At 42.8% G+C, this 17,973-nt stretch overlaps 1 protein-coding gene across 13 annotated transcripts in view, besides 1 other annotated feature; it reads left to right on the top strand.

Annotated features, from left to right (window-relative positions):
• FRMD4B (FERM domain containing 4B) overlaps positions 1 to 17,973 on the top strand; it is a 373,805-nt gene that overhangs the window by 249,603 nt on the left and 106,229 nt on the right. For all 13 annotated transcript variants that reach the window (XM_017005993.2, XM_047447767.1, XM_047447771.1 and 10 more), the window contains one exon: positions 5,148 to 5,232. In XM_017005993.2, the coding sequence (XP_016861482.1) occupies positions 5,148 to 5,232 (85 nt within the window). The remainder of the gene's footprint in view (positions 1 to 5,147; positions 5,233 to 17,973) is intronic.
• Positions 3,830 to 4,820: an enhancer, noted in NCBI's record as "OCT4-NANOG-H3K27ac-H3K4me1 hESC enhancer chr3:69337315-69338305 (GRCh37/hg19 assembly coordinates)". NCBI's record gives its function as "activates a minimal SCP1, AML or CMV promoter by ChIP-STARR-seq in naive H9 embryonic stem cells {active_cell/tissue: H9 hESC(naive)}" and the evidence as "EXISTENCE:reporter gene assay evidence [ECO:0000049][PMID:30033119]".

Here is a 17,973-nt window from a genome sequence, read left to right as displayed (position 1 = left end):
GTGAAGCCGAGGTTTGTCTCCAAAATGTGTGCCTATTCAAAAAGCCTGGGTTCTTTCCGAAGCTGAAAAATTAACCATGGGCTTCAACTTAAGAAAACCTTAGTGAAATCGCTCACAGTAAGCATGCAAAAAGGAAACAGTATCCTTTTGCAAAAAAAAAAAAAAAAAGGCTGAAAAAAAGGTCTTTATGAATCTGGGATAGTCCATTTCATGTCATTAAGAAGCCCTAGATTTTGTTTTCAGTTCATGGTTTGTGTTGATAGGTGTGCCTGAAGAGCCATTTTCCCCAAAGCCCATATGTATTTTTCATACACTCCATAAATATGAAGCCATTACAATGGCCCCCTTGAGGGAGAGATGGAATTGTGGATTCAGAAAGCTGGTAATCTGATGCCTAGGCAGGAGGCACCAGGGCTGGTCGCCAGAAAGTAGTGGGAAATAAGATAGGGACCTGTTTACTGGGACTAGGATGTAGTCAGGGGCCTGGACTCCAAAAACAAGGTGAACCCAGTTTCTAATACAAAGGTATCTGTTCAAAGTTGGATGCGCTACAAATTGATTTGGTGCCAAGCTACCCAGCAACCTGTATGCGGTTTCTTCAGGGCTCAAAGACTAGCAGGAGGATTAGTTTGGCTAATATGCTATCCGCCTGAGTGCCCTTCCTACCTTTGTTACCTGGTGAACTCATGCATTCTTTAAGACTCAGCTCAACTGTCCCCTCTCCTGTGGTGCTTAGTTCTATGGATTTCAGTTTGGCAGCATTCTCCCCTTAATTCATAAGCTGAGTTAATTGCCTCAGGCTGGTGGGCCCCCACAGCATTCTGTACATGTTATATTTCATTTTGATTGTTATTGTAGGAAAGCATTATATCATATTGACTTGGAATATGAACTTAGAAGTCTAACAGACCTCAGTTTGAGTCATGGCTCCACTACTTGCTAGCTGTATGGCCTAAAGAAGAAGACTTGACATCTCTGTATCTAAGCTTTCTCATCTGTAAAATGGGCTCATAATTTGTTGCCTACTGCATCTGGTGGTACCAAAGATGGAAAAAAAAAAAAAAAAAAAAAAAGAGATTCCTGTAGAGCACTTTGTATTATCCCTAGCATGGAAGAAGCCCTCTATTAACTTGGGTTCTTTAGTTGCCAGCAACAGAACTACCTGTGGCTAACAAACAAAACGGAAGGAAAACTGAATTGACAAAGACTCAGAAAACACAGGGATGAGGGCTTCTGCAGGGATCTAGGGAGCAGAAACCAAGGGACAATTTCATCAGAGTGCTGTTAGCAGAATAAATAGGCTCCAACCATCTTTGATCTTTAGGTCATTCTAATCAAGTTTATTCTCCAGGGTGAGAAGCTGACTGGCCTAGCTTGGGTCACCTACCCACACCATGATGAAGGAGTTTTAGTAGAGCAGAAAAAATGTGTCCCAGTGTCCCCCAAGCAGGTCTCACCCATCTGGTCAGCATCACTCATTTATATCCAGCCAGTGATCCTTACGACTTTTGCATATGTGACTGTTGCCATAGGCCAGTGCAGCTTTACTTATTAAATGTCACAATCACAGAACTCTTTTTTTTATAAGTTTTGGAGGCAATGGGAAAATACAAGTGAAGACTAAATTTTAAATAATATTAAGAAATTCTTATGAGCTTTGTTGTGTGTGAAAATTCATTGACCCCGTGTTTTTAATACAGTCCCTGTTAGAGAAGTCTATTGAAGTAATTAAAAGTGAAGGAAAAAAATAATCTTAGAAATTTCAAGTAGAAGGCAGATGTTGAGTTCTACTAATCTGACCTAGGATTTTTTTAGGGCAGGGAGATCTCTTCCTCTGGAAAGGGCTTCCCCTTCTGAGACTACTCTAACTTTTAAAAAGGTGTTTCATAGGTTAATCAAAATCCTTCAACGTAAGTCTTTTGCCATGGTTTTGCTTATTGAAGCAATAGAGAACACACGTACTTCTATATATGTTAACATTTTGGTGAAAACGTCACACTTGTCTTATTTTTCTGCTATTTTTTACATGGTTGAGACGCCCACAATTACTAAGGGTTCAGCTTCCTGCTGAGTGCTAGTTGAGTGAACTGGGAGCGGCAGCCCAGGAGGAGATGTTGGTTAAGAGCACTGTCCACAGAGTCAAAGTCATTGTCCCAGACCAAGACCTAGCCCCACCAGGTAGGCAGATCTCTAAAACTCAGAGTCTGCGTCTGTGAAATCAGGGTCATCATAGGTCCCTCCCCAAGGCAGTTGTGATAATTAAATGAGAGAACAATCGGGAAGCACTTAGCACATTGCAGGCACCTCAGTAAGAGCTCAGGGAAATGTTAGCTGGGATCCTGCTGCCGCCCTTAATTAGGCTGCCCACTGGAAGCCTGCTCATATTATCTTCATTGATAGGGATACAAATGCATGGGAAAGCCAAGAAAGCAGGAAACAGCCACCACCAAGTAGCTGAACTGGAAGGTTCTTGGAAATGCACAGAAACTTGTATAACATGGGTCATCTCAGCCCTGTAGCAGCAGCCAACCTCTGGTCTGCCTCACTTTGGTGTCTGCCATCACAAGTGACTCGGCTACCCTGCTTCAGTCCATCAACTCCTGCTGTGGACTCTTGTCCCTCTCTACTTCATGGCTTCTGCTGCCTCGTAATTTCTGCTTAGTGCCTTTCTCTGCCTCCACTGAATCCCTCCTCACCCGCCCCTCAAGTCTCTAAGAGACCATGTGCAATTGGTTGACTCATTCATCATGCAGTATAAAAAGCATCTGTTGAGTGGCACTTGCTCCTTTCCAGGCCACCTCACCGCCTGACATCTTGGCTGCCTTTGAGTCAGGTGACTCGCCTAGTCCACGCAGCAGGGCTCAGGGTAGAAGACACTAGACTGATGGGAGAGGAGAATACTGTCTACCCAAAAGGAAAAGCTGAGACAAAATTAATATAAAAAGCTTATTTGGGACAAGGTTGAGGACTGCAGCCTAGGACACACTTCCAAGTTGCCTTAGGAAGTGCTCTGGAGAAGTAAGGAGAGGTCCAAGTGTTTAAAGAAAAAAAGGACAAATCAAGAAAGGGGACAGTTACAAAAGTTGTTCGTCAGGAATTAATTCTCCTTGGTTTACAGAAATAACATTGATCAGTGATTGGCTATACGTTGTTTTTTGGGTTTTTTTTGTTTTGTTTTATTTTTGAGACAGAGTCTCCCTCTGTTGCCCAGGCTGCAGTTGTAGTGGCATAATCTTGGCTCACTGCAGCCTCCACCTTCCAGGCTCAAGTGATTCTCCTCCCCCAGCCTCCGGAGTAGCTGAGATTACAGGTGCCCGCCCGCCACCACGCCCAGCTAATTTTTGTATTTTTAGTAAGAGACAGTTTCACCATGGTGGCCAGGATGGTCTGGAACTCCTGACTTCAAGTGATCTGCCCGCCTCGGCCTCCCAAAGTGCTGGGATTACAGGCGTGAGCCACTGCGTCTGGCCTGGCTATCCATTGTTGAGCTACAGGTTGTGGGTTACAGTGTCCGGGGCAGTGGACACTAATGTGCCCAGTGCAGCTAGTTTTGGCAGTAGCAAGCAGTTTCCGGAGAAAAATACATAGCTCAAGGAGGGAAGTAAGACTTGATTGTTGTCTATTTTAATGCCTCTCTAGACCTGATAAATTGAAAGAACTGGAATTCCTCAGATAAAAGTTCTGTTCTTTCCTCAGAGATAAGTACAGTCACGACATTCAATTTAAAAAAGACACAAAGAAACTAAATAATTTGCCCAAGGCCATACAGCGAATAAATGGTGGACATGAAACACTACATCTTGATCTTTTGGATTCCAAAACCTATTTTTCCCCCAACTCCTCATTTCCTTCACCACCTTTGTACTTAACTTTCTCTTCTCATAAATCTGACACTCCTCCATCTTCATTAACCTCACTTACAAGTGAGATAAAAGCTTGTAAGTAAAAATACAAAGGATTTGTTCTCTTTCTGGAACTTCCGTTGATGACTCAACATTAAAGGGTGGAATGTTTCGAATGATTTTACCATCTCAGTGATAAAATCTTTCACAGCCCTTTCAGCTGCATTTATTTATCAAAGGTATCATCACTGTGGAAAGGGAGAAAAAGAGAAGCAAAGGCTCAAGCACTCAGGATTCCGCAGAGCTAAGGATAGGTTCACCTGGCCACTTCCTAGCCCTGGTTTACCTTCACTCTCACTGATCTGAGAGTAAATTCCCTTTCGGACTCAAAGCAGTGAGCTGTCTTGGGGCTTGATGGCTCTTCATGATTATTAATCAAGCAATGCTCCAGAACTTGAGGAAAACTTCGGGGCCCCAGCTTGCCCACTCGCACACCACAGAGTGCCAGCCTTTGCAAGCCGGCCTCATCAGTACAGGATTATGAAAACAGAGTTGTTAAAGACTCAGCCTCCTCCCCACCCGGGAGCTGTCAGAGCGCTCCTGAGAGGGGCCTGCCTGCAACCTGTGGTTTCACAGATTGAACAAGCAAAATCCTAGAAAGGGAGTGGGGCAGTGAGGCCCAGAATACCCTGATTTGCATGAGAAAAGACCAAGATTGATGGCTGCTGAGAGCCTGGCTTTGAGCCAAAGGAAAACCCAGGGCCTGGAAGGATGGGAAGGAAGAAAGGAGTGATTGAAAAGTGTGATGGAAACTCACCCAGTGAATGGGGGTCAGGTAGGCATGGGGCCCTCAGGCCCCTCCGTCTAAAAACCCCCGAGCCTCAAGCAGGCTTTGGGGTTCGGTTAGGTAGTGCTTGCTCAGCCGACTTCAGCTTTCAACTCCTAGTTCATCTGCGCTTTGTTTTGAAGCTGTCTGAGGTATTATGAACTCCCAGAACATGTTTCAAAGAATAAGCAACACAGATAAACGTTTGTTTTTGTTTGTTTTTGGTTGAATACCATTTGGGGTTTCTCTTTAACTCACCTTCCAAGACACAAAAACATCCTGAAAGAGATTTTAGGTATACATACACATACATCCATCACATAAATACGTGCGGTGCATATTTCTTTTAAAACGGAAAAGAAAGCACAACCTTCCTCAGGTTTCTCAAAATTCTTGCCCTGCTTTTGGGGAACACTGAATGAGGAATGCTGAGAGGTGAAAATAAATCTGAAGGAACAAACTCCTCTGCTGTTTTTCAGGTTTTACATTGAGAGCATATCGTTTTTAAAGGATAAAACCACCGTGGAGCTGTTTTTCCTGAATGCAAAGGCCTGTGTGCACAAGGTAGGTGCCCCGTTTGTCATGTTCACTGGATGCCTCCAGAGCGACTGGGATGACAGGAAGAAATGGTTTTGCCTCTCTTCTTGCATTCAAACTAAGAAAAAAAAAAAGGCCACAATCTTTTCCATGAATATGTCCTACCCCCCAACTACACACATACACAAATGGTATCTTTTCTCAAATTCTGAGTGGGAAAGACAACCATCTGCACGGGAATCCTGCATATGCACAATCACTACTACTTTAAATCCAGCAAATAATCGACACAGAGTGACCCAGAAAGACAGAAAGATGGATCAATCAGATCATAATCAAAACGTCTAGGCCAGAAATCTTTTTAAATAAGGTATGCCCTACACTTACAGTAATTCAAAACCAGCCTTATTATTTCGGTTCAATTTCTGCCTTCTGATCCCTGCACACATGTGCCACCTTAAATCTAGGCAAGGAAAGCTGCTCACAGCCACATATTTTCAAGCAGTATCTCAGTTATCTGTGGTAAGGGACAGGGTTTTTCTTTTATTGTTTTTTATTTCTATCTAATGAATCAAGGACAGATCACTTTTATAAAATTCAATAAACATGCATTGCTAGAAAAATAATCCCATGCTGGGATGTTACAGCCATGTCAAATTGCTATAAACGTTTTTACGGCCGAGCATGGCAGCTCATGCTTGTAATCCCAGCACTTTTGGAGGCCAAGACAGGTGGATCACGAGGTCAGTAGTTCGAGACCAGCCTGGCCAACACAGTGAAACCCCATCTCTACTAAAAATACAAAAATTAGCTAGGCGTGGTGGTGTGCCCCTGTAATCCCAGCTACTCGGGAGGCTGAGGCAGGAGAATCACTTGGACCCTGGAGGCAGAGGTTGCAGTGAGCCTAGATTGTGCCACTGCACTCCAGCCTGGGCGACAGAGTTAGACTTTGTCTCAAAAACAAGAATAAAACAAAAAAAGTTTTTAAACACTCTCAGTTTTTTGTTTTTTCTCTTTGCAGACTAGCATAGCTTTAAAAGCCTTCACTGTGGTCTTCTCAAGCAACTTCCTGAGGAAGGGAAGGGAAGCCATGGGCCAAGAGATGCCCAGTGGAGCCTGGCTCCTCCCTTGTACGTTCTGATCTCAATGCCTGGGAATCTCAGAATTCCCTATCCAGACTGTATACCTGTTTCCAGGCCTTCTTTTAGGGTTATTGAGCATGTTATGTGTTCATTTTACCTCTTTTGTTGGATTATTAGCTATAACTCTTTGTTGTTTCCATGGTTACTTTAGGGTTTATAGTATACACATTTTTAACTTATCAAGTCTACCTTCAAGATGATATTATACCACTTCACATGTAGCATAAGAATCTTACAGTAGTATACTTCCATTTCTCTCCTCTCAGCCTTTATGCGATTGATGTCATACAATTTACTTTTAGATAAGTTACAGATGCACATGACATTATTATTTTTGTGTAAATATTCAATTAACTTTAAAGAGATTTAAACAGTACCAAAAGTCTTACATATTTACCCATGGAGTTAGCATTTCTGTTGCTCTTCATTCACTTGTGTAGGTTAATATTTCTGTCTGTTATGATTCTTTCTGCCTGGAGGACTTCCTTTAGCATTTCTTATAGTGTGGGCATACTAGTGGTGAATTCCTTCAGCTTGTACCTGAAGACATCTTTATTTGCCTTTGGTTTTAGAAGATAATTCACATGATATAGGATTCTTGTTGGCAGTTTTTCTCTCTCCGTACTTTAGAAATACTGATTCACTATCTTCTTGCTTGCATTGTTTCTGATGAGAAGTCTGCTGTCATCTTTATCTTTGTGTTTCTGTATGGAATATCTTTTTCTTTAGCTGCTTTTAAATTTTTCTCTTTTTTCTTTTTTCTGCTTTGAGCAATTATTTTTTTTTTCTTTTTGAGATGGAGTCTCGCTTTGTTGCCCAGGGTGAAGTGCAGTGGTGCCATCTCAGATCACCGCAACTTCTGCCTGCCAGGTTCAAGCAATTCGCCTGCCTCAGCCTCCCGAGTAGCTGGGACTATAGGTGTGCACCACCGCACCCGGCTAATTTTTGTATTTTTTGTAGCAATGGGGTTTCGCCATATTGGCCAGGCTGGTCTCAAACTCCTGACCTCAGGTGATCCACCTGCCTCGAGCCTCCCAAAGTGCTGGGATTATAGGCATGAGCCACTGTGCCTGGCCTGCTTTGAGGATTTTTATTATGAGGTGCCTTGGTATAGCTTTCTTCATGTGTTTGTGTATGTGTGTGTGTCATTGGCATTTATTGAGCATCTTGGCTTATAGTTGTCATCAAATTCGGAAACATTTTAGCCGTTATTTCTTCAGGTTTTTTTTTTTTTTTTTTGGCCTCATGTATGCCTCATTTGCAAAGCCCAATTACACATACGCTTGGCCACTTGAACTTGTCACATAGTAATGCTTTGCATTTGTGGGGATTTGGGGGAATATGATATCTTGTATAGTTTCTCTTGCTTTGTCTTCAGTTTCCCTCATCTGTTTTTTGCAATCTAATCTGCCATTAATCCCATTTTGTATATTAGAGTTTTTGTTTTTGTTTTTTTGTTTTGTTTTATTTTTTGAGACAGAGTCTCACTCTTGTTGCCCAGGCTGGAGTGCGGTGGCACAGTCTTGGCTCACCACAACCTCCACCTCCTGGATTGAAGTGATTCTCCTGCCTCAGCCTCCCGAGTAGCTGGGATTACAGGCATGTGCCAACACACCTGGCTAATTTTTTGTATTTTTAGTAGAGATGGTGTTTCACCATGTTGGCCAGACTGGTCTCAACCTCCTGACCTCAGGTGATCCTCCCACCTCAGCCTCCCAAAGTGCTGGGATTTACAGGCATGAGCCACCATGCTCGGCCTTAGAGTTTCTATCTTTAGAGGTTTGATTTGGATCCTTTTTACATCTTGCATGTGACTATTTAACTTTTTAAGCATATTAAATATAGTTATAATAATTGTTTTAATGCCTTTGTCTGTTTATCCTAATGTCTGTGTCAGTTCCGGGTATTTTTGATTGATTTTTGTCTTTGTTATGGGTCATGTTTCTCTGCCTATTTGCATGCCTGGCAATATTTGGTAGGATGGTAGGCATTATTAATTGTATCTTTTTGAATGCTATATATTTTTTGTGTTCCTATAAATATTCTTGATGTTTGGTTTTGGGATGCAGTTTAGTTGATTGAATATGGTTTGGTTTTTTTCAGGTCTTGCTTTTATGATTTGTTAGTCTAGCCCAGAGCAGTGCACATTCTATAGCTAATTGTTCTGCATACTGATCTTCCTGAGTACTCTATTCAATGCCCCATGAATTATGAGTTTTTTATTCTGGCTGGTGGGAATAGGCACCACCTCCAGCCCTGTAAGGATGAGGCACTCTTCCCTCTTATCCTTTCAGATGGTCTCCAACTTTGGGTAGTTTCTTTTCATGCATGGAATGATGAGTGCTCTACCGAATCCTCAGAGGAGACCCTCTATAGATTTTCAGGGGTTCTCTCTCTTCGCAGCTCTCTTTTCTCTGGCAGACTGTTCTGCAAATTCTATTCATTTTGATCTCCCAGACTAAGGAGTTGCTGCATCTCCTTAGCTCAGGGAGTTCACTGTGTTCTGCTGTGTTTCTCCCTCCACAGCCTGGAGCCCTCTCTTGACAGTACTGGGGGCAGTCATAGGGCTCGCCTTGTTCAAGGTTCACTATCTTCGTTGCTGGATATTCAGTGTTATGAAAACTGTTGTTTTATATATTTTGTCTGTTTTTTGTTTTTTTTGTTTTGTTTTGTTTTGTTTTTTCAGTTAAGAGGATAAATTCAGTCCCTGTTACTCCATCTTGGCTGGAAGTGTAAATATTCGAAGCAGAGTTTTTGGCTGAGTCTATCGGGAAAGTAAAATGTTCCCAGCATCAAAGGCTTTACTACAGCCCTCTTTTCTGAGATTCAGGTTTTCCTAAGAACTCTAAGGGTTGACTGATGAGTAGACACCTATATAACAAACACAGCTTTTCAAACACAGCATTTACTGAGTCAGGAACACGTTTCATAAACCACAGTTGGCTATCCTCTCCTATGTGGAGACATACAATCGCTCCTTGTAATATTTTTCACTGCCTAGTTGGCATTGATCAAGTGTTTTCTCTGTTGCTAATGCAAAGGTGGTTAGAATGAAGATTTTCAACTCATGACGTTTCTCTTGTACCTCTGCATGCTAAATTCTGTTTGTCTTGAGAAAGCAAGGAAAAGCAGAATTCCTTTAAATGCTACTGCATTTCATGAATGTCAGTTGCTAGGAGCACCTTTCTTTCTTTTTTTTTTTTTTTTGTTGTTGTTGCTTTTTTGTTTTTTGTTTGTTGTTGTTGTTGTTTTGAGATGGAGTTTCACTCTTGTTGCCCAGGCTGGAGTGCAATGGTGCAATCTCAGCTCACTGCAACCCCTGCCTCCTGGGCTCAAGCGATTCTCTGCCTCAGCTTCCCGAGTAGCTGAGATTACAGGCGCCTGACACCACGTCCAGCTAATGTTTTGTATTTTTAGTAGAGATGGGGTTTCACCATGTTGGCCAGACTGTTCTCAAACTCCTGACCTCAAGTGATTCACCCACCTCGGCCTCCCAAAGTGCTGGGATTACAGGTGTGAGCCACAGCGCCTGGCCTGGGAGCTCCTTTCTAAATGGGAGTGTTTCATGACTTGTCAAATAATTTAGAACTTTTACAGAACATAATATTGTAAGGCACTATGACTGTTATTGAGATAATTTTTTAAATTTTATTTGTAGGAATTTAGAGTGGGATATTTTCTATCTAATTATTATGCAGATGGCTGGGTGTGGTAGCTCACACCTGTAATCCCAACACTTTGGGAAGCCAAGGCGGGTGGATCACTTGAGGTCAGGAGTTCGTGACCAGCCTGGCCAACATGGTGAAACCCTGTTTCTACAAAAATACAACAATTAGCTGGGTGTGGTGGTGGGCGCCTGTAATTCCACCTACTCCGGAGGCTGAGGCAGGAGAATCGCTTGAACCTGGAAGGCAGAGGTTGCAGTGAGCCAAGATCACACTACTGCACTCCAACCTGGCAACAGAATGAGACTCCATCTCCAAATATACGTATATAAAATGTAGATGGCTGGTAACAAATTCTAAGAGATGTTCCAGGATCAGGTAGCTGTTTGGATAAAGCAGCTTTCAAGCAATTTCTTAAGATGTATGATTGTTTGAGAACATTCCACATAAGGAATATCAGCTGAACCATGGCCACAGAGACAAATAAGTTTTATGAGAACATAGTTTCAGCTGTAGAACACTCGTAGGTGGATTTATTGATTGGCAAAAGTGAGTCACTGATGGTTGGTAGCTGCTGTTAACTCAGGACTCACAGCTAGATCTGAAAGTGAACGGGCCCCCCCTCCACACTGCACAGAGGGCATTCTTCTCTCCAGTGAGATGTTTGACACCTCTGATCACACCCTACACACATTTCTTCTCTGCCAGACAGCTTTCGCCTACAGCTACTTCCTTCCTTCCACTGAGAACAGAAATACACAGGCAAGAAAAGAGAGCTCTTATTTGCAAATACTGATAAAACCACAATGTCTTCTTACATACTTGTTTAGTAAGAAATATGACTTATGATAAGATTTGATACAGTTGCTGAAGCTCTGCACAGCTACATAAATACGGATTTATAAAATTCAGCCTCATGAGTATGTCATTTGAAAAACTGGGTGGCTCTCAATGGGTTCTGTAAATATCATTGCCCATACGGCATAGAGAATAAGCCATTGGTGACACTTCAATGTGTTGAAAGAAACAATTGTGCCTCGTTTCTGAGTTTGGGTATCCAGCATGGTCTGAAAAAGGAATAAAGATTTTTCACTTTTGTGAAAAATACTGTAAGCAAAAATATATATATATATTTTTTTTTTTTTTTTGAGACGGAGTCTTACTCTGTCACCCAGGCTGGAGTGCAGTGGTGCGATCTCAGCTCACTACAACCTCCGCCTTCTGGGTTCAAGCGATTCTCCTGCTTTAGCCTCCTGAGTAGCTGGGATTACAGGCACGCATCACCACACCCAGTTAATTTTTGTATTTTTAGTAGAGACGGGATTTCACCATGTTGGTCAGGCTGGTCTCGAACTCCTGACCTGGTGATCCACCCGCCTCAGCCTCCCAAAGTGCTGGGATTACAGGCGTGAGCTGCCGCACCCAACAAGCAAAATTTTATGTATGAAATGTGGCACACATTGGGCATTCAGTAAATTGTGGTTGACTAACACAACAAATGAATGAGTATTGCTGATAACACTTGTTTCCCAAGAAGTCAAGCAAGAAGCAAAAATGTATAATTTGACTAGGGGGAAACACATGAAAACACCTACATTTACTAAGAAATTAAACATCTACAAAGTTAATTTCATTTTCCAGGTATTACTGAATAACACTTAACAATACTATAGTCAACACTAATTACAACCTTCATCAAAAAATGAGTGAGAATTATATGTTAAGAGGAAAATTTCAGGCCGGGCACAGTGGCTCACACCTGTAATCCCGGCACTTTTGGGAGGCTGAGGTGGGCGGGTCCCCTGAGGTCAGAAGTTCGAGACCAGCCTGACCAACATGGAGAAACCCCGTCTCTACTAAAAATACAAAAAACATTAGCCGGGCATAGTGGTGCATGGCTGTAATCCCAGCTACTTGGGAGGCTGAGGCAGGAGAATCGCTTGAACTCAGGAGGCAGAGGTTGTGGTGAGCTGAGATCGCACCATCGCACTCCAGCATGGGCAACAAGAGTGAAACTCTGTCTCACAAAAAAAAAGAAGAAGAAGAAAATTTCAGCCAGGTGTGATGTCTCATGCCTGTAATCCCAGCACTTCGGGAGGCCAGGGTGGGCAGATTGCTTGAACTCAGGAGTTCAAAACCAGTCTGGGCAACATAGTGAACTCCATCTCTACAAAAAATACAAAAATTAGCCAGGCTTGGTGACATGTACCTATGGTCCAGCTACTTGGGAGGCTGAGGTGGGAGGATCGCTTGAGCCCAGGAGGCAGAGGTTGCAGTGGTTAATGTCATGGACATGCTCAATGACAGGCAGCAAGTGTGGTGGTTAACGTCATGGACTCTGGCATCACGTGTCTATTCATGGGGGAGGCATATCCATGACATCCTGAGTTTAAACTCCCTCTTTCCTTTAATTCTGAACGTTGTTGTACATGGTGATGCTCTTAGCCCATGGTAGTTAATAAGGTGCTTCTGTACATTAGGGGCCAGATGACTTTTATGGGCTGGACTCGGGACAAAGCAACACTTCTAGAGGGATATTTCAGGAGTGCACTAGCACTCATGCTGGAAGAGAACCTGTAAGAAAACTAGGTAGGAACTGCCCCTAGGTAGGAACTGTGGGTCAAGCATTTCAGAGGAGAGTGCATGCTGCTGTCTGGATTGTTGTTCAAGCGAGGGCCCCTGAACCTGTTTGGCTTCCTCAGTGAGAATGCAGAGGGGCCCACCTTGCCTTCACAAAACAACCACCTGTGCCAGGTGTGGTGATGTGGAAATGCCGAAACTGATACTGGGGAACCCGGGAAGCATTCAACATGGCTGTGGTCTACCTTGGGCAACCTGCTCCTGCTAGAAAAAGCCTAAATGCATGAAGCAGGACTGTAGGCTTGCCCCAGGTTATTATTCTTGGAGGTGCCCTTGACCATATCTGTGATTTTAGTAATCAGCCAACATGGACCACCACACCCCCTTTTTTTTAAATCAGCAATCTGAAGACAGGCTTGGCAAATTAAAATAGTATTGGCCATCTTTTCTCTTTTGATGTGTATATAAATATGGTAATAATGAAAAGACAGAAAATGTGGAAAAGCAAGTAGGGCTTATGAGGTGCTCTGTGGTAGAGACCACAGACAGCCTCAGCTCCCTTTTCTGCAGAAGTGGGAAGGAAGAGGAGGAGGAGGAGGAGGAGGAGGAGAGGAGGAGGGGAGGAGGAGAAGGAGGAGGGGAGGAGGAGGGGAAGAGGAGAAGGAGGAGGGGAGGAGGAGGGGAAGAGGAGAAGGAGGAGGGGAGGAGGAGGAGGAGGAGGAGAAGGAGGAGGAGGATAGCAACTCAACTCTTAAGAGCTCACCCTTAGCTGGGCATGGTGGCATGTGCCTGTGGTTCTAGCTACTCAGGAGGCTGGGGCAAGAAGATCACTTGAGCACAGGAGTTTGAGGTTACAGTAAGCCATGATCATGTCACTGCACCCCAGCCTGGACAACAGAGCAAGACCCTGTCTCTAAAAGAAACAATAAAGAACTCAACACATAGAAAGCACTGATTTTTGTGTGTGTTATTAGCTCATTTAACACCCACAGCAACTTACACAGTTATTTATTACTACTTCAACAAATAAGGAACTGGCGGCATAAATAGGTTAAACAATTTGGCCAAGCTTGAATAGTTTATTAGTACTGGAGTGATCAGATCTATGTAGTCTGGCCCCAGAAACCGTATTTGTCTGTCTTCATTCATTCAATTAAAACATCATTGCATTCCTATTAAGGGTCAGGGTCTGTGATGAGTGCTGCATTATCGTAAAATACTTAGCAAATATACCTTCCTGTGGCCTAAAAGTCCTAAGTCTTAAGGATTTTTTCATTTGTATGTGTGTAGTATGTGTTGTGTTTATTTATTTGTTTATTTATTACCCTTATCCTTTATGTGATGGTATGTGTTGTGTTTAATTTAAAGGTAATGTGTCTGATGATACTTTGTAAGACATAATATTTCTAAAAGATGTCAGGGACCTTGGAGAGACTGAGCATGCCTTAAATCCCTTGATGTTACTTATTACTGTTTCCTAAAGTACTATAAAAAGCAATTTGGAGCAGGGCATGGTGGCTCATGCTTCTAATCCCAGCACTTTGGGAGGCTGAGATGCGCAGATCGCTTGATCCCAGGAGTTCCAGACCAGCCTGGACAACGTGGTGAAACCCCGTCTCTACAAAAAATAAAAAAAAATTAGCCAGGTGCAGTGGCGCATGCCTGTAGTCCCAGCTACTTCAGAGGCTGAGGTGGGAGGATCGCTTGAACCCAGGAGGTGGAGGTTGCAGTAAGCCGAGATTGCGCTGCTGCACTCCTGCCTGAGCGGCAGGGCAAAAAAAAAAAAAGCAATTTGGGGCCACTGGGGTGACTCACACCTGTAATCGCAACACTTTGGGAGGCCCAGTAAGAGGATCACTTGAGGGCAGGTGTTCAAGATCAGCATGGGCAACATAGCAAGACCCTGTGCCTACAGAAAATTTTTAAAATAGCCAATAAGTTAGTGTGTGCCTGTAGTCCTAGCTGCTCAGGAGGCAGAGGTGGGAGGATCACTTGAGCCCAGGAGTTTGAGGCTGCAGTGAGCAATCATCATGCCACCGCACTCCCACCTGGATGACAGAGCGAGACCTGCCTCTAAAAAGAAAAACAAATAATAAAGGCTTCAAGAAGTCCTGCAATAAATTAACTTATTTGATTTGGTTTAACCTAATACTTTCCAAACTTATCTGTATGTGAAATTCTTTTTTAAAGCAATACTTATTAATGGACTGCCTACCACACTTTTGAAAATGCTGTTCAGGCCAGGCACAGTGGCTCAAGCCTGTAATCCCAGCACTTTGGGAGGCCAAGGCAGGCGGATCACAAGGACAGGAGTTCGAGACCAGCCTGGCCAATATGGTGAAACTCCATCTCTACTAAAAATACAAAAATTAGCCAGGCAAGGTGGCAGACACCTGTAGTCCCAGCTACTTGGGAGGCTGAGGCAGGAGAATCTCTTGAACCCGGGAGGCAGAGGTTGTAGTGAGCCGAGATCGGGCCACTGTACTCCAGCCTGGGAGACAGAGCGAGACTCTGTCTCAAGAAAAAAAAAAAGAAAGAAAGAAAAAGAAAATGCTGTTCAATGGACGGGCGCTGTGGCTCACGCCTGTAATCCCATCACTTTGGGAGGCCAAGGCAGGTGGATCACAAGGTTAGGAGATTGATACCATCCTGGCCAATATGGTGAAACCCGGTCTCTACTAAAAATACAAAAATTAGCTGGGCGTGGTGGTGCGTGCCTGTAGTCCCAGCTACTCGGGACGGGGAGGCTGAGGCAGGAGAATTGCCTTGGGAACTTGGGAGGCGGAGGTTGCAGTGAGCTGAGATTGCGCAACTGCACTCCAGCCTGGCGACAACAACACTCCATCTCAAAAAAAAAAAAAAAAAAAAAAAAAAAGCAGAAAGAAAGCAAGAAAATGCTGTTCAAGACATATACCATATCATTAAATAATAAAGCCAAAAAAGATGACCATAAGCCTCCTGGGTGTTGCTCTATATTAGATCTGGCCCCACGATAAAACCTAGGTTTATTTTGATTCTTTAAATAAAACATCTTTGGAATTAGTCAAGAGATACTGACCTGAGTACCAAATCAGTTAGGACCTCCCCTGCTCCAGCTTATCAGGAGTAGATAACATAACAAACATAACAAAATGGAGAAGAAAATGGCTCTGTAAGGCTTTAGTAGGCTTCATGGGGCTCCCTTTTCTGTTCTAGTAAGTACTCATGTCTTTGTACTTTAAATAAATGTGGAAAGACAAGTGAGCCAAACATTAGTAATCCTATTAAAAAATAGGGTTATTGCAAGACTATGCAATCATGTTTATTTTTATCTTCCCTCTTACCCCATTTCTTAACCAAGACCTTATTAGGTGTGCCCTTTCATTAGCCAACTTCGTGACAGTCTCAGCCTATCATCTGAAAACATGCTCTTAACGTATCAATACCCTTGGAATCTTTTTGTTCTGTCGCCCAGGCTGGAGTGCAGTGGCACAATCTCGGCTCACTGCAACCTCTGCCTCTCAGGTTCATGCGATTCTCCTGCCTCAGCCTCCCAGGTAGCTGGGACTACAGGCACGTGCCGCCATGCCCGGCTAATTTTTGTATTTTTAGTAGAGATGGGGTTTCACCATATTGGCCAGGCTGGTCTAGAACTCCTGACCTCAGGTGATCTGCCCACCTCAGCCCCCCAAATTGTTGGAATTACAGGCATGAGCCACTGTGTCCAGCCCGATCCCTGGAATCTTAATGCCATTTACATTTCTGAGCGTGAACCTGGAGGTATCAAAGTTCTCTTGAAAGCCAATGCAGTTTAGGAAGGCAATTTGGCCATTTCCATTAAAATGAAGGGTACACCTAAAGGTCGGGCATGGTACTTTGGGAGGCTGAGGACAGGTGGATTGCTTGAGCCCAGGAGATTGAGACCAGCCTGGGCAACATGGTGAAACCCTGTTCCTACAAACCATAAAAAAAATTAGCCAGGCATGATGGTGCACGCCTGTAGTCCCAGCTACTCAGGAGGCTGAGGTGGGCGGATCACTTGAGCCCAGGAATTTCAGGCTGCAGCGAACCATGACTGTGCCACTGCACTCCAGCCTGGGCGACAGAGTAAGACCCTGTCTGTCTCAAAAAAAGAGAGTACATCTTGTCATCCAGGACTCTACCAACTGTAGGGATCTATTCTTTGGAAGATTTTATTGAAATAGGAAAAGATATCTATAAAAACATATTTTACATCATTATTTCCAATAGTAGGAAACTGGAAACTGCCCAAATATACTTGAATAGGAATTCATTATATAAATTACAAATCATTCATATGATAGGATATTGTACAGCCATTGACAAGAATAGGCTAGCCTTCCTTAGCTAACATGAAAACAGTCTAATGTTGTTAAATGTTAAAAGAAGGCACAGAACAGTCAATATAGTATTATTGTTTCTAACTTTATTATGTGCTTATGTATATGAAATGTACTCATAGGAAGAAATATAAAAATATAGCATAGTATAAATATTTATTATTTCTGAGAGTGAGATTGGAAAAGCTTTTGCTTTCTAAGTTATACTTTTCCAATTTTTTAACAGGAAGCTTGAATTAGTTTTAAATCAGAAAAATAAAGAAAAAATCAGTATATTCATTAAAATTTACCTCTTCAAAACTGCATCAAGATAATAAAAATGGCTGGGCATGGTAGATGACACCTGTAATCCTGGCATTTGGGGAGGCTGAGACAGGTGGATCACTTGAGCCTAGGAGTTCGAGACCACCCCGGGCAATGTAGAGACCCTATCTCTACAAAAAATTAAAAAAACTAGCTGGGTACATGCCTGTGGTCCTAGCTACTTGGAATGGCAAGGCAGGAGGATCACTGGAACCCATGAGGTCAAGGCTGCAGTGAGCCATGATTGTGCCACTGTATTCCAGCCTGGATAACAGAGTGAGAACTTGTCTCAAAAAAAAAAAAAAAGAGAGAGAGAGAGAGAATAAAAACATTTTGCTGATCACTTTTCATCCATTACAAAAACACTTGGGCATTTTTCCCACTGGATAAAGCTCAGTGAATGTTGAAAATTTCTAATTGCCTTATCTAGAACAGCAAAGGCTTGCTACTAAAGACAACGACGTTTTTTTTCCTGTTGTTAAAGGTAATGCTTATTAATTGTAGAAAATTTAGAAAATGCATACAAGTACAACAAATCAAAAAGATCCATAATCTCAATATTAGAGCATAAATTGTATTATTTTGACATATTTCTTTTGTGCATACATTTTTGTTTGGTTGAGATCAAGTGCTTGGTTGAAATCAGTTTTGTTACACTTTTAGCATTTTATATATTTCAGCTACTTTGACCTCTTGTCCACTCTTCATCCTCATGCCATATGTTCTTCTGTTTTAAGA

This window comes from Homo sapiens, chromosome 3 (assembly GCF_000001405.40).
Source record: "Homo sapiens chromosome 3, GRCh38.p14 Primary Assembly".
Classification (NCBI taxonomy): domain Eukaryota; kingdom Metazoa; phylum Chordata; class Mammalia; order Primates; family Hominidae; genus Homo; species Homo sapiens.
This window is presented reverse-complemented; position numbering and strand designations above follow the sequence as displayed.